At 36.4% G+C, this 16,292-nt stretch overlaps 1 protein-coding gene across 1 annotated transcript in view; it reads left to right on the forward strand.

Moving 5' to 3' along the window:
• RNF128 (ring finger protein 128) overlaps nt 2,458-16,292 on the forward strand; it is a 103,179-nt gene continuing 89,344 nt past the window's right edge. The window contains exon 1 of the mRNA NM_024539.3: nt 2,458-3,028. Coding sequence (NP_078815.3) covers nt 2,623-3,028 — 406 coding nt within the window. The 5' untranslated portion in view covers nt 2,458-2,622. The remainder of the gene's footprint in view (nt 3,029-16,292) is intronic.

Genomic DNA, 16,292 nt, shown 5'->3' on the forward strand with positions numbered 1-16,292 from the left:
ATTCTTCTCTTCTAACTGTTTTTGAAATATACCATACACTGTTGCTAACTATATTCACCCTTCTGTACTATCGAATACTAGAACTTCTTCCTTCTAGCTAACTGTATTCTTGTACCCATTAACCAACTTCTCTTCATCCCTCCCTCCTCCTTCCCTTCCCAGCCTCTGGTAACTACCCTGGAGACATGGGAGGAGAAATGAGGCAGGAGAGCTTTTCCTTAGTGTATTTTTATCCTGAATTGTTTCCTGAATACGTAAAATGTGTTAAGATTTTTTAAATGTTCAAAACTTCAACCTATTAAATCCACTGAAAAAAACTGTTAGGATATAATCTTAAACACAGAAAAAGTTATTATAACAAAATGATAATAGCAAAAATATTATTTAAAATTTTGACCAAACAAAAATGGAATGACTAAGTAAACCGAGGTATTTCCATTAATGGAATATCATTTATCCAACAAAGCATTGTCTACAAAGATTATAAGATAAAATATATAATGACTGAGATATTAAATGAAAAACTAATTTAAAAATATATAAATATGATCATGTAACTAAGAAAAAATCCCTACACAAAATAATGAAAAGAAATCTTAAGATAAACAAAGAAATATTATTTTTTAAAATTTGACTTCTAATGGATTTAGGTAACTTCTCATTAATCTGCTTTTAAAGTTTTTCATGAGAAGATTTTTTAAGGAGTAATTTAATTGGCAGAAAAGGATAGATCAAATTTCTGGGATTTTACTAATTATTTAAATGTTGAATGTTGATGTTGAATTTATCACAAAAGACTGTCCATCAGCAATCTCTAAGCTAATGGTTTTGACAACATTTATAATAACAATAATAACATTTCTGTTTTTAGTCTGATAATTTTCTCTGGTGAATACAGGCTTTATTGTGATCCTAAAAACACATCAAAATGATAGGGCTAGTAGCAAAATAATGAACTATTTGTGTTTACTCTTAAATTGACCATAAGCTAATACACAAGACCTTTAATCTTTTCAGTTCAATTATATGAATTATTAGGCTGTTACTAGGTGTATGATGCTAGTAGTACCAGGTACTATGGGAGGGTACGCTAATGAGTAATTGGCAGCTATGATATGATAGCAAGGTTCATATTTGTATTATACATCTGCTGGGATTTATTCAGCAGGTTCTGCTGCTGATTCCCTGAACTCCTTCCCTCTGCTGAGTGGTGTGAACTGTTAATTCTCACCTGCAGGGTCCACTCCAACACTGATATTTCAGATGTTTAAAAGCGGACAAGAAGTAGGGAGAAGAAACAGCTTCATTGACCACCTCCATCAACAACGTCTCCTATTTTTTTATTTTCGGTTGTCCTGTCCCCTTGACTCTAGTAAACCTTCCTGATTCCAGATTACCTGACTTGGACCTTGGACTACCATTGTCCCTACCTTCCTTTTGACCTGGTAGCTTTTTGCTTCCCTGGAAGCCTGATGCCTGTTTGTCTAGTTTGCTGACTCTTGGCCCAGTCAGACTCCTGATATCTCTGTTTGTCTTGTTCGTTCATCTATTCCTTCATCAGCCCTTGGCACACATTGCAATCTCCCCATCCCAGCAATTTTCACAGACCAGTTGACCCCGTAGCGTATGTGTCCTAATGCTCTTAGTGTCCAGTGTGCTCCTGAATAAAAACAGAGCTTGAACTAAAGGAAGCAATGAAACAAATAAAGTTGTCTATACATCTGGGAGAACTAAAAATTTAAAAATGTAAATGTTAAAAATTAAACCTTCAACAACCTTTTTTAGAGTATAACACATGGGGCACAAAAATTAATGGAATGCAGCAACTTGCAGGTATCAATCAATCAACAAATATTTGAGTGCCTGCCATGGGCAAGGCACTATACTTGAAAGGAAAGGAATTCTAGCTACTGAAATATGTTTGTTTTCCAACGAATAAACAAGGTAACAGAGGATATCCCTTGGGGAGCCTGCTAAGAAAACACACACACACACACACACACACACACACACACACACAGAGAGAGAGAGAGAGAGAGAGAGAGAAATTAGAAGAGAAAAAAGCAATAAAATTCATTCTACTAATGCCATAGCAATTAAACTCATGGATCTTAACTTACTCCAGGCTGAACTGGTTGATAGCATATTTCAGCAGGGCTTGGCAAACCAGTTTAGTGTTTTAGATATTCTGAGAGAGGTAACTTTCAGCCTTGTCACGTGGGATTCCCCAGAGTCCAGTTCCTCTTTCCAATCCACTCCATGTTTATGAAAGTGCATTAGTTGGAACAGTAAGAAGAAAAAAAAATGTACTGCAGGAAGTCATCCAATCCTAATAAGTTGACATGTAGAATAAAGTTGATGGTGTTATTTATTACTAAGGTAGTCCTGGTTAAGGGTTACCTGTGTGTACAGCTGGAGGAGGGGCAAGCAAAGGGGAATGTAGATAACTAAAGTGAAATAGAGCTGATGTATCCAGAGGTTATGTTGCTAGAGGTGAGATCAGTTACCTACGTGCAACTGAAATTTCAAACTTCTGTTCAGCAGGGACGTGAGTGGACAATGGTGACTGATAGTTGGAAATATCAGCAAACATCTTAAATTTTATACTCAAATGAATGAGCAATGAACCAGGAGAATAGGTCCAGTTTTTTTTGGCTCCTTGTAATTTTTACCTTTTTACTTAAAATTACAGCATCTTTTTCAATGAGTGCCTATGTGACTGTGACTTATTACAATGAAACCAGCAACTACACTGCAATAGAGACATGTGAATGTGGCGTTTATGGATTAGCTTCACCAGTGGCTAATGCTATGGGAGTGGTAGGCATCCCTAAGAACAATAACTACCAAGCTTGTGACCACAACACTGAGTTTAGTAATACTAAGAAGCCCTGGATTGCGCTGATAGAAAGAGGTAATTGTACATTTTCAGAAAAAATTCAAACAGCGGGCAGAAGAAATGCTGATGCTGTTGTGATTTACAATGCTCCAGAGACTGGCAATCAGACGATACAGATGGCAAATTTTGGTAAGTAATAATTGATTCACAAAGAGAGTTAATGTCCGTTTATCTTAGAATGGTATTTCCATCTAGAACTGGTCTAGGATCTGGCAACAAGGTTGTAAAATAATTTTACTTTAAATTTTCTTGCCTGGCACAACTTGTAATTACTTTATTATTATTTAATATTTTTAATTAATTTGTTCCAAAGACAGTAGCAATTCATGAAGTGATTCCTATTTTCTTTCATGTTTTCTTAGCAATATAAGTTTCCTCAGTGGGCATTATATCGTGAGTTGCTTTTTAATAAACTGTGCCTTTACCTCTAAACATTAAAAAATTTAATTTCATTATTAATTTGCACTTCTCAGTTTGATTTATTTTCTCCTGCAAAAGGGATTGTATGTTTTCAAGTTTGTGAAACTGCAAAACAGTTTCATTATGCTTAAATAATAGCATATTATAAGTGTGTAAAATGTTATAGAAATGAGAACTTGACTCTACTGTATGCTTGTAAGATTTGAATCTTTTTGCGGGACTGATACAAACGAATCTGCAAAAACGTGATATTACCCATTGAAAAGTGTATGGCAGAAATAGGATAACACTGTAATTAACAAAGAAAATAAAGATTTCCCTTAGAAATATTTACTAATGGCTTCTTAAGTAAATAGAAACTTCTAATTTATTAACTTTTTAAAGGAGTTACTTCTGAAAATCACTGGTTTTTATTTATTTAAAAAAACAGTTTCCAAGTAAATAGATTTTTAAACCAATGAAGAAGTAAACTTCTGAACCCCATTTTGTTCACTGTGGATAGGTATGTGTGTTTTTATCAGACTTGGTCTAAAAAAAAAAAGGAATAATTTCAATCAAGGCAAGCGCTGACAGTAAATGAATACAAAATTTTGATAATTGGTGTTATTGCCAAATTTGGCCTCTAAGAAAATTAATGCAAATTAAATTAAACAGATTTTAGAATTATGAAAAGGAGAAAATCAAACTTATGTTAAGAATAGTATGGTGCTTGGAATGTTCCAAGTTGTACACATACAATATCACTGTTTGGTACTAATATTTGAAAACCAAACTGCTTATTTCGCTAAGCATCAAAAAAACAAGTAAGATGAACTTCAGCAGTACAAAATTATTGTAGATGTAACAAAACTCCATGTGCTACCTTTTGTGACACATCCTGGACACTGCAAGAGCTCAGACATTCACATTTTATATTATTTTCTAGCTAAGAGCATTTCATAAGCATTCCCTGCCTGTTCCTGTGTTTTTACGAGTGACTTTCATTTTTGTAGAAAGAAACTAATGCCATTTTCTGATAAAACTTAGGAATTAAATCTGTTCTAAGGAACCAACTTGCTATACATTTAAACTTAGAGATCCTGAATACTCTGGGTTTCCTTTTGCATGAACACATTCTACTTATTCACTCTCCTGCTATTTTTGAAATACAAACAGTATCAAACTAAATAGTAGTCCTGTTTTCAAAACTTTCTTTGCAACCTGTATTAGGGACCAATATCTAGTAGAATGTAGGTACCCTGCCAGTAAATTTGAAATATTTACCAAAGATCACTCACAGTAAATCTCTCCAAAAGAAACATGTGCATAATCATTTGAATATGTGACTCTGAACAGAGTTTTAAAAAGGAGGCAGTTAGACTTATCATTCAATATATACCTCCAATATAACCAAAGACACATGATCAAAAATATTTTAAAGCTACAGTATTGCACCTATTTTAAAATAAACACATTGAAAAAGATAGCATAATGATCATAACTGTGATAGTTAACATTTACTGGCATTTACTATATTTCAGGCACTGTTATAGTGTGTTTATTTAATGAACATTGTTTTTTAACATATGATGATATCAACCCCAAAGAATTAAAACTAAATTTGGAATTTTGCCCTTTTAAGACCTGCCAAATAGTGTGCCATTGGATTTTTTCCTTCCTAGAAATTTCCTTTATATAAAAACTATTCAGTGATGCAGCTGACAAACATAAGGAATCAAGTGTGGATATGAAAACTAGATGACCAGACACTAGATCATTAAAGACTGTCATTATTTTATGCCAACATTTTGTTTGTTGTTGCTGTCTTTTCACTCGTGTTTTGTTTTGTTTTGACACAGAGGATGGGGGAAATCCTCCTACAATAAAGCTCACGATTTCACCTTCTGTCATCTCATCTTGTATTACCCCCTAAAAACCACCTTTTCAGAAAATCACACTGTAGCCCCCTCAGGCCCTTGTACTCTTCTACTCTTCTCTGGCTCCCCCTACCTCTTCATTCCTTCAGTCCCATTATCCTGTACTAGGTCTTACTAAGCACTTCCACAATGTTGTGTCTCTCTGCTTCTTTCTAATGTCAGTGCTCTCCAGCCAAAGACCGCTAGCAACAGACCTGTAGTTTAAAAAGGTAGATTTATTACTTGTTGCAGCAATTGGAAGAGCACACACCATGGAAAACCACAGGGCATCCTACTAAGAGGGTGTTAAAAAGGACTTGCAGGATTTGGGCTTGCTTATGTGTTTTGGGGGAGAGTTGAAGGAAGATGACTGTTAACCAACCATTCTAGTTTGCTTGAGATTGAAGGTTTCTTGGGATATGGGACTCTTAATGTTAAACCAGGAAATTCCTGGGAAAATTGTGACAAGTTGGCCACCCTAGCTGGCTTTGTTCTGAACTTGGAGGCTGCCAGTAAGTTGTAATTCTGTGTTTAGGTTTCTAAATAAACCTTTTTTGTAAGTGGGGAAGACTAGCCCATGGCTAAAGCTGTAATTGGTAAAGAAGCAATAGTTACCCTTATTAGCCAGAATAGAGAGATATTTGGTAGTTACCCTTATTAGCCAGAATAGAGAAATATTTGGTAGTTTTTGTGGCGAGGACACTGTCCATATTTTGTCTGTGTTCAGACCTGATTATGGAGTGGTCTTTTTTGTTTGTTTGTTTTGATCCATCATAGTCACAGATTGACCTTCTCTAATGTTGATGTTCTGTGAGATGGTTTATATTCAACAAGAAAATGTCAAGGCTTAATTGAGAGTGCCAGGCTAGGTCCTAAATATCAGGGGCAACTTGTCTCTTTCTCACTGAAAATCTACTTCACCCACCCTCGTACTGTTGTGCAAATATATTCTCTTCCCCCATGTCCTTTCACATTTCTGTGCCTCCGCATCCCTTATAGGTTGCCTTCAAGGGACCTGATAAGTCTAAGGGATGCTTCCACACTCCTTGCCTCACATGGTTTCATGATTTAAATACAGAATGTCCTTACTCTTGAGTCCAGTCTATTTACAGCCTCCCTACTAAGAGTGTTATTTTTCTGAAGGGGATAATTTCAGTTTGAGAATAGCTTCCACTGAGGAAGAATAGTGTATAGCCTAATAATTGGAGGTAAACTTCTAACTCAGTTTCCCATTGTGCTGTGTCCAGTATCAGTTTCCTAATTTGCTCTTGGAGTTCTCCTTTGGGTTATATTCTGCATTGGTGAGTATATCTCTATCTATCTACACACAAACATATATGTATATATACATATATTTTCATATTCTAGCTTACCAGAAGGAATAATGGGATTTTGACTCGGCATTTTGATGAGGTGGGAAATAAAAGGATATGTTTACCATGTTCTTAAGTAAGTATGTAACTTCCTAACAATCTTTTCCGAGCACTGCAGACATGGCCTTTCAGTTCTATTCTAGAGATGCAAGAAAATTCAGGACTCCTGAGTTATTCAAGCAGAAGACGCGTAACATGTTAAGTACTTGCTTGCTGAGCAGACAGCTTTGGAAGTTAAATATGTTATTTTTAGGTAAAATGTCTTAAGAAATGCTTAGATTTGGATGTAGTTTATATCAGCAAGGTCAGTAATTTGGGAGGGATAAAATGGTTTTTACGTTTTATCATTTCAGCTGTGTCCAACGAAGTGGATTAGAGTCAAGTGTGCGGCATTCAGAATCTCCAAAACTCAACCAATTCCAGAGTAGTGAAGTGCATGAAAAGGAAGGGTTTAATTATAGCAGCAAACTCACATGCTTTATAAAAATGTTTTTCTAGAAGTAAAAGGGGAAATAAAAGCATGGTATATAAATGAAGTGAGAAGATGACAAAAAACTTCGGTAAAACTAACTCAGATATGTACATAAAGAAGAGCTTAATTCAAGAAAACTAATCAGTTGCATTTCAAATGAGCCTCAAATCTGTCTAATTCTGTGCATCTCCAAGACACCACTCACTCTATCTTAGACCTCTACAACAGCTTTCCAGTTGATTTCCCTGCCACTCTTTTCCCCTTCCAAGCCCAATCTCCAGACTGTAAGCCAAAGTGGCTTTTTAGAGAAAATAAATCTCATTCTGTTTAAAATCCTTCCGTGGCTTCCCATGACACTCAGGGTAAATTCAAACTTCTTTCCAAGACTTTATCCAGCTCTGAATCATCTGGCCTACTGCTGTGACCTCATTTCCTCTCACTCCCTCCTCTTCTACTCACTGAACTCTTGCCACACGGGACTCCTTTCAGTGCCTCAATTCCACTAAACATTTCCTTGCCAGACAGCCTGAAAGTAACCCCTGATGCCTTCCTCATCCTCGCTCCCACATCTCATTAAACATAAAGTTCTCTTGATCCTACCTCCAAGCATTTCTTAAGTCCATTCACTTTTTCACCTCTGCTGCCTCCATCCAAGCCCAGGCCAAAATCATCTCTCACCTGGACCACTGCAATAGCTTCTTAAGTGTTCTCTCTTGCTATTCTCGCCCCTCTGTAGCACATAGCAGCCAGAGTGATCCTGTGGAAAATGTAATTCCACCCCAGTTAGAATAAAATCCAGGCCTTGAGCCTAGGCCTACAAGGTTTGATGCTAATCATGTACAATCAGACCTTATCCTATGCCCTTCTGCCCTGCATTACCATGCCTCAGCGACTCTGGTTTTCTCTCTGTTTTTTAACAAAGAGAAATAAGCGCAAGCTTTTGTACTTGCTGCCTCCTCTGCCTGAGTCACTTCTCCTTCATTTTTTTTTCACATAACACTGCCTCCAAAATATAACCATGTCTATCTACTACCACTAGTCTAGTACAGGCTACCGCCAGCTCTCGCACTGACTACTGCAAATAGCCTCCAAACTGGGCTCCCTGCTTCTACTCAACCTACCCCATATATTCTCTACACAGAAGCCAGAGTGATCAAAACATATAGGTCGATCACATCACTCCTCTTCTCAGAACTCCCCAGTGACTTTCCATTGTTCTTCAAATAAAGTCTAAATTTTATCAGGCCTAAAAGGAGTTGCATGATCTGGCCTCTGCCTATCTCTCCAACCTAACAGTCTACTCTTTCCCTCTCCCTCACAATGCTTCAACCACTCTGATCTTCGGACATTTTCTCCAACACGTGAAGCTTTTCCTGCGTGGGACACTTTTTACTTGCTTTGCTCTCTCTCACCACCATCGTTATCACACATAACAGGTACTCCATATACCAGTTTAAATGTTTCTTCTAACGGGTCTCCCTTGACCTTATACATATTATTTTCTATCAAAACCTTCAGGTCGTTCTTGTTAAAATTTATTTTAATGTATATTTTCTTTTTTAATTTATTTTTTAAATTTATTTATTTAATTTTTTTTTTTTGATACGGGTCTTGCTGTGTCACCCAGGCTGGAGTGCAGTGACACAAACAAAGTTCACTGAAGTCTCGAACTCCCTGGGCTCAAGCAATCCTCCTGTCTCAGCCTCCCAAGTAGCTGGGACCACAGGCCTGTGTTATCACACCAGGCAATTTTATTTTATTTTTTTAGAGACAGGGGTCTCACTGTGTTGCCCAGGCTGATCTTGAACTCCTAGTCTCAAGTAATCCTTCTGCCTCGACATCCCAAAGTGCTGGGATTATAGTCGTGAGCCGTCGCACTTGGCCTAATTATTTTCTTACTTGTTTATTATTTGTTTCTCCCACTAGATTGTAAGTTCCAGGAAGACAGAGACCACGTCTGTCATGTTTGCCATTGTATCCATTGTACAGAGCATAGTGCATGGTCTTCACTATTTGCTCAATGAATAAAAGTTTAAGAAGCTACAAAACAATTCTCTTTTATATGTGAAAAGATGGACAAGTTGAAATGAAGTTTGGTAAATTTGGCAAACTATTGTATTTTTTAAATTGTTTTTATTTTTACTGATACAAGTAATAAATGAGTAGTTTCTCCTATAAAAAACACTAACAATATAACTAAAGTCTCCCCTTGACTACCACCCCCAATTCCAGCACCTTTTCAAGAGATAACTATTGCTATTCATTCAGTATGTAACCTTTCAGACTTTTTCTATTCATTTTTGCATATATACGTACAGAAAACACGTAGTCAATTTGTGTTTTATTTTTAATATTAACAAAGTTATTCTGTAGCTTGCTTTAGCTACTCAACAATAGGAACTGGAGTTATGTTCATGTCAGTAAATTTGTATTTAAATCAAATTCATTCTTTTAACTATTGCATTATATTAATATTGCACACACACACATAATTTATTTAACCAGTCCCCTAGCAATGGACATTTGGGTTGTTTTCAGTGCTGCTCTTTTACAAACAATACTTCAGTTAACATAATTATTGCTGATACATAAGAAAGCTATTGATATTGATCTTGTATCACTATTGTTGACCTTGCATCTGACCACCTTGTTGAACTCCTATTAATTTTATTAATTCATCCATTGATTCTCTTGAATTTTCAAGATAAGTGATCATTTTCTCTAGAAAGTTTTGCTTCTTCTTTTATTTTAATTCTACCTCTTAATTTTTCCAATGGTCTTATTCCATTGTCTAGGGCTACAATAGTGATAACAGTATACATCCTTGACTTGTTCTTGACTTTACTAAAAAGTGCTCCCACCGTTCTATCATTGAGTATGTTATTTGATAGAAGCTTCTGGGAGATAGTCTTTATCAAGGTTCAGGACTTCAGTAAGATTTTTTAATTTTGTTATTCTTATGGCTTAACTAGAATATGAATATATATGTATATATGCATATATGTTTGTGTGTCGATAGATACAGATAGAGTCACCATGTAGGATATGCCCAAAAGGGAAATCCAATAGTTTACTGTTAGCTTGGGAGAAATAATAAGGTGGTATACAGAAACAATAGATGATCTCCATAAATTAGGTATGGAAAGAAGAAACAATAGGTAAAAGGGACAATTTTGGGTTATTTTCCAAATACAATTTTATTAGTGCCCTGGATAAAACAATTGAAAAAGAAATTTCATTGTGACTCCGAGTTGAGTGTCAAGTTGTAAGACACAAACAAACAGTAAAAGCATCTTGACAAGTTAGGAAAATTATTTATTAAAAACAAGATGAAGTACCATGGTGAATAGTAAAGAATAATAAATGTAGAGACAGATATAAAATAGAAATATATGGGCAAAAAAGACAGGTTTCTAAGCAAAATATTTGACAACTACATTGTACCACAAGTCAACTAAAGAATGACACAGTTATTTAAAAAATTGACATGATTATGGGATGTATTAGTAAGTATATAACATGTTACGCCTGGAAAATAACTCAGCTATGCTTGGAATTCATGAATCTCTGAAACATCATAAGCTTTTTTTTTTACCTGACTTACAATAACAAATTATTTTAGTACCTCTTTTATGCTTTCACACAAATGCCCAGGTGCCCCCCTCCCCTGGGTACAGGCACATACAAACATAATTGCATAAAAATGTATGTTTATAAGGAAATCAAGATATAGTACCTCTGGGCACCAGTTTCCGGATAAAAACAAAATGAGTAAATTTACTGTGAGCCCTTTCAAGTACATTTCATCTCCCTTTTCTCCATTTTAAAATCAAAGAACATTTTGAAAGCATCTAAACATGTGCCATTTGTTCATTAACATATCCTTTGCTTAACTCTTGGCCTCTTCCTCCTAAATTTTTAATGTTTCATTTATTATGTTATGATTTGCTGCTCAGACATAGATTTCCCCCAGAATTACTTGCAATTATTAGAAAAGAGTGTGTGTGTAAATACACACAGAACAATGCCTGAGCCTATATAAAGTAGGCTACTTCCTCTTAAGTACTCTCTGTCGCTCTCATTTCAGCAGTCCTCAGTTCATAAGTGCTCTTACCCCAGCTACCTCTCTTCCTTCATTCGAAGAGTACATTCCCTAGGCAGCAAGGACATCATATAAACAAATTATATCTGTTTCTGTCTAAACTTGCAAGTTTTATGTGCTACTTATTTAGAAAATTGTTCGATATTCAGGTGCTATTTTGATAAAGTTGGGGGAAAGATTTACTTGTTGCACCTAGAAACAACATGCCTTAAAAGAAAAACAAAACAGATTTCTTACTGGTGATATCAGGACCTTTGACAGAACAGTGGAAGAGTGAATTCCAGGAGATGATGTTTCAGAGTGTCCCTCATCACATCATGCAAGCAACAACCTGTTCCACCTATGCTCAGGACATGCTTTGAGCACACAAATATTCAACAGTATAGTAATGTTAATAGTCATGTAAATATTTAACAATATAGTAATGTTAACTGTAACTTTTTAGAGTTTTAGATGTATATCATATTTTTGCCTAAATTTTTAATGACATATATTCTCAGCATGACCTAGCTAATGACCTCAATATGCAATGATAGTAACACAATGTAGTTAAGTGAATTCGTCTCTAGCAATAATCAATACATTGACATCTCCCCCGTGGAAAGAACAAAGAGAAATGAAAATTTCCTTAATAATTCACTTGCTTTCCATTTATATTTTAAATGACTGTCTCAGCATCATTTCTCATGATAAATTGGAACTCTTTATTTCTTTCAGTAATGTACCTGTTAAAGTATCTGTTTTTCCTTCCCCTTTATGAAGGCAGTTGTTAATTGTAAGTACTCTGTTAACTATGTGCCGAGCATTCTTCTCAGTGTAATCATCCCAACAACTGCTATGAGGTACATAGTGTCAGTATCTCCATTTTATATATAAGAAAACTGAGACACAGAGAGATTGGTTAAATTCGCCATGGTCATACAGCTAGTACGTTTCAAAGCTGAGATTTGAAACCTAATATCCTAATAATTAAGAGTCTGTGCTCTTAATCAGTACACAATACTACCTCTCCAGTGAGCATATACTATGGAAGGCACTGTAAAAAATGGTACAAAAATATCATCATTGCCCTCAAGGAGGGAAATGTAGTCAGGGGACTAATATTTACGCAAGTCATAAAAGGCAGACTAGAAATGTTAAGGTTATTAGAACTGAAGCAATTAAGAAATTGTAAAGGTCAGAGTGTTGGAAGGGTCATCAACATAGAAGGTGATAGCAGAGAAGTCAAAGACCAGTACCGGGAATATGAAAGTGAGAGAGTTATAGGATAACCAGTCAGAAAGTGGGATATTTCTGTTAGGATTTTGGAGGTTTAGCAGATTAGGATGCTGATAATATACAGAGTATGGCCATGGCAGTGGGGTCAATAAAGTGGAATGGCAACAAAAATTCCTGAAGTTAAACCACACTGAGGACAGAATGTTGGGTGATGGAAAGATTTGAGGGTGAAAAGGATGGCTGTGATCCAAATGATAATGTCTTCGATAAATGTGTGAAAATTACTGGGAGGTTGGTCCATGGCCAAGCAGAGAGGAAGGTAATAGAGGTTATTAAAACCAAATGCTGTTGAGTCTCCAAGAAGCAGATTTTGATTCATAAGAGTGGGGGAGTAGGCCGGGCGCGGTGGCTCACGCCTGTAATCCCAGCACTTTGGGGGGCCAAGAAGGGCAGATCACGAGGTCAGGAGATCAAAACCATCCTAGCTAATACGGTGAAACCCCGTCTCTACTAAAAAATACAAAAAAGCCAGGCGTGGTGGCTGGCGCCTGTAGTCCCAGCTACTCGGGAGGCTGAGGTAGGAGAATGGCGTGAACCCGGGAGGCGGAGCTTGCAGTGAGCTGAGATCGCGCCACGCACTCCAGCCTGGGCGACAGAGCGAGACTCTGTCTCAGAAAAAAAAAAAAAAAAAAAAAGAGCTGGGGAGTAGTCTGGAAACAACAATGTGGGAGTGAAGAGACTCCTATTCCTTGAAATATGTGGGGCACGAACAGATGAGCTGCCTTACTGAAAATATCTGAAGGAGAAGTCGTGTCCTCATGATAAGACGGGTTTTGGTTGAGTCAGGAAGCACAGGGAACCCACAGTGAAGAGAAGATGAGGAAAGTATACAAGTTAAACATCTGTCATGTAACCAGAGATCTAGAAGACACATGGAAACTTTTAGGAGAGGAGAAGTAGAAGAAAGTAATGAGTAGTACAGAGAGAGGAGCACAGAAGTGAATAGTAAACAAATTAGCTTCCATTTGGGAAACTAGCTAAGGATGGAATGAATGTGATACCAGGTGGCAATAATGTAAAGATTAGAAACAAAATTCTGGAGTAAATTTGTCTCAGGCAAGTATGGTACTTGGTTTATCAATGTAAAGGGCTGGCATTGTATATGAAATGTAAGAGCATTATTCACAAGGGAGCAGCCACTCTTGAAGGAGCTGGCAAGGGCAGAGCTGAACAGATTAGAGGTGAAAATGTGAATAAATTTAAATCACAAGGGTTTGTTCCTAGAGCTATGATTGTAGATCACAGGGATGGAGAAGCATGTCAATGTTTGGGCAGGGAGGTAGGGTACGGTGGAGGGTAACAAGTGCTAAATGACCTGAATATAAAACTAACCCGCCCTAGGTTTCCAAATGGAACTGCTTTATAGTCTTAATCCAGGTACAAGTTGGTCCTTGACTTGAGTGTCACCTGGGTATCTGGAGGATGTTGCATAAAAATAGGAAATCATTATAAGAAACAAGCACATGAAAAATTATTTGGGGCTCTTTTAATAAATCAAATGGCTGGAAAATGATCTGTTTGTTATGACTAATGCTAATTACCTATCTGCATTGAGGAGATTAGGATTTTAGTAAAAACTGGTAGAAACTTAGTCAAGGCCTTAGGATGTCAAAATTGCAATCATTAAATGCCCGGATACCCTGCATTCCAGAATTGAATTAAATCCAATCAACATTTACTTATGTATATTTTTAGCTTTTAAATGGAATTGTAAATTGAGTTCTTTTCCTCAAAGCAGTCAATTCAGCAGAGGAAGAGAAGTGTACAATCAGTCAAATAGGATGTTTGATATTGTTTTAGCTCTAAAAATGTCAGCATGGACCGAATAACCATTTTTCAGAAATAATTTTTCAACTGATTTTTTTAGCCTCATATAGGATGCAGCCAGCATCTAAATGCTCAGTTAACTTATGTATAGCAAGATTAGCTGCAGTTGGAGGCCACAGTAGTTACATCTGAGAAATGTAGTACCATTTCAACCATACACACAGGCAAATGCTCTTAGAAAATTAGTTTTCTCAAAAAGCCAGGATATGCAAAATGACCATATTTACCAAAGGGCTTTGTGAGGACTCCTTGGAGCAGAACTCAGAGAGAGGTGGGTAAATCACATGTTGGTTAGAAGAAGGAGTGTGATTTGATTGTTTCACAAGGAATACATCTTTCTCACCTGAAAGCTGCTGTTCATTACCTCAATAAGGGCAGCTTAAAGGCTTAAAGAAGGCCTACAGAGAAATACTAGGCCTCTAACCTGATGCATTACCACATGATACCTCCACGACATGGGAGACCAAGGGATGAAGAGAAACCCTAGGGTATGAACCCCTGGGTTGCTATTAATTCTTGTTTACTTGTCCATAGCCTTGGCCAAGGGTAGCTTTGCAGTGTGGCTAGGAGGAAATCTCTTAGGGAGAGCAAGTTCTGGCTGACAATTGGATTTTCCAAATTGGGAATAAAAGAAGGCAAAACTGTGATTTTTGTAAATCTAAAAAACAATGTGGATTTGTTTATACACATTTTATTTGTATCATTTCATGTTAAACCTCAAATAAATGCTTCCTTATGTGAAAAAAAAACAAAAAAAAACAAGGGTTTACTTATTCACTCAACAAATGTTTACTGAGAGCCAAATATTTGTCCTCCCAAGTTTTACATTTCATAGTTCTATCTCTGAAACTTCAAGCATGCATGGCTTCTACCAGAAGCAGTGAGATGTAGTAGTGATTCAAAGCATGGGCTTTGTAGGGGGATAGACCTGGGTTTGAATCCCAGATCTACTGTTTGTTTTCTAGCTGTGTGATCTTGGTCTAGTTACTTAAACACTCTGAATTTCAGTCTTCTTATCTCAGTCATCTCATCTGTAAAATGGGAATACTAGCAATACTACTTTAAACGGCGAAAGATGTATAGGATCTGAAAAGAAATAAGAGTATGTGGTACTACTTTATATAGGGTGGTTGTAAGGATTAAATTACATAATGCATATAAAGAAGGCACTTTGCACAATGTCTATTCTATAGTAGACAGTAAAAACTACGGTAGTAGCAAGATGATGCTCATGAAGTCATCCTTGTTTTCAGTTCACTCTCCCTCTTCTTCACCTGTCTGTGTCTCTTTCCCACTTTAAACTCTTGGGCAAAAATGTTTGTCCTACAAGAAGTCTTTTTTGGCTAACAGTTTATCCTGATATTTCCTTTACTTGGCACCTATTCAAAATTTACATACATAGTTCGGGTCATGCTAATTTTGCCTTTTTGCCTATTTTTATGTATTCTTATGTATTCATTTGTATAATTCCTGAATTCCTAACTATTATAGACTAATAGATTCATAGCTTAAACATTAAAAAATACATAATTTCCATGTACTTCAGAAATCCCTTAAACTAAAACCCTGTCCAGTGGTCATTCACTTACTACTTGAGCACTGTCAGGGACAGAGAGTTCATCATCTCACAAGGCATTTCAGTTCATTGCTGAACAGCTCAAGTTTTTAGAAAGTTATTGTTCAAACTATGCCAAAATGTGCCTTCCTCTAACTTTCACACATTTTTCCTTGTTGTGCTTTCCTGAGCAATATAGGACATATTTTAAGTTGTCTTCTATTTACTTTATATCATCCAGTCAATTACCAATCAGTGGTATTGACATGTTGGCTTTTTTTCTTAACTAATGTTAGAATTTCAATGTTTTTACCACTAAAATAATTATAAATAAATTATTTTTTAAATTTTCTTTTGGTGGGATGGGATATACTCCATCTACTTTTTGAGGATGACTTTACTTTTGTGTCTTGGAGAAGGATTTGGGGGCCAGTCACCTGTGTGATGTGCGGTTTTTTGTGTCTCAGGAGT

Source organism: Homo sapiens, chromosome X (assembly GCF_000001405.40).
Source record: "Homo sapiens chromosome X, GRCh38.p14 Primary Assembly".
In the NCBI taxonomy this organism is placed as follows: domain Eukaryota; kingdom Metazoa; phylum Chordata; class Mammalia; order Primates; family Hominidae; genus Homo; species Homo sapiens.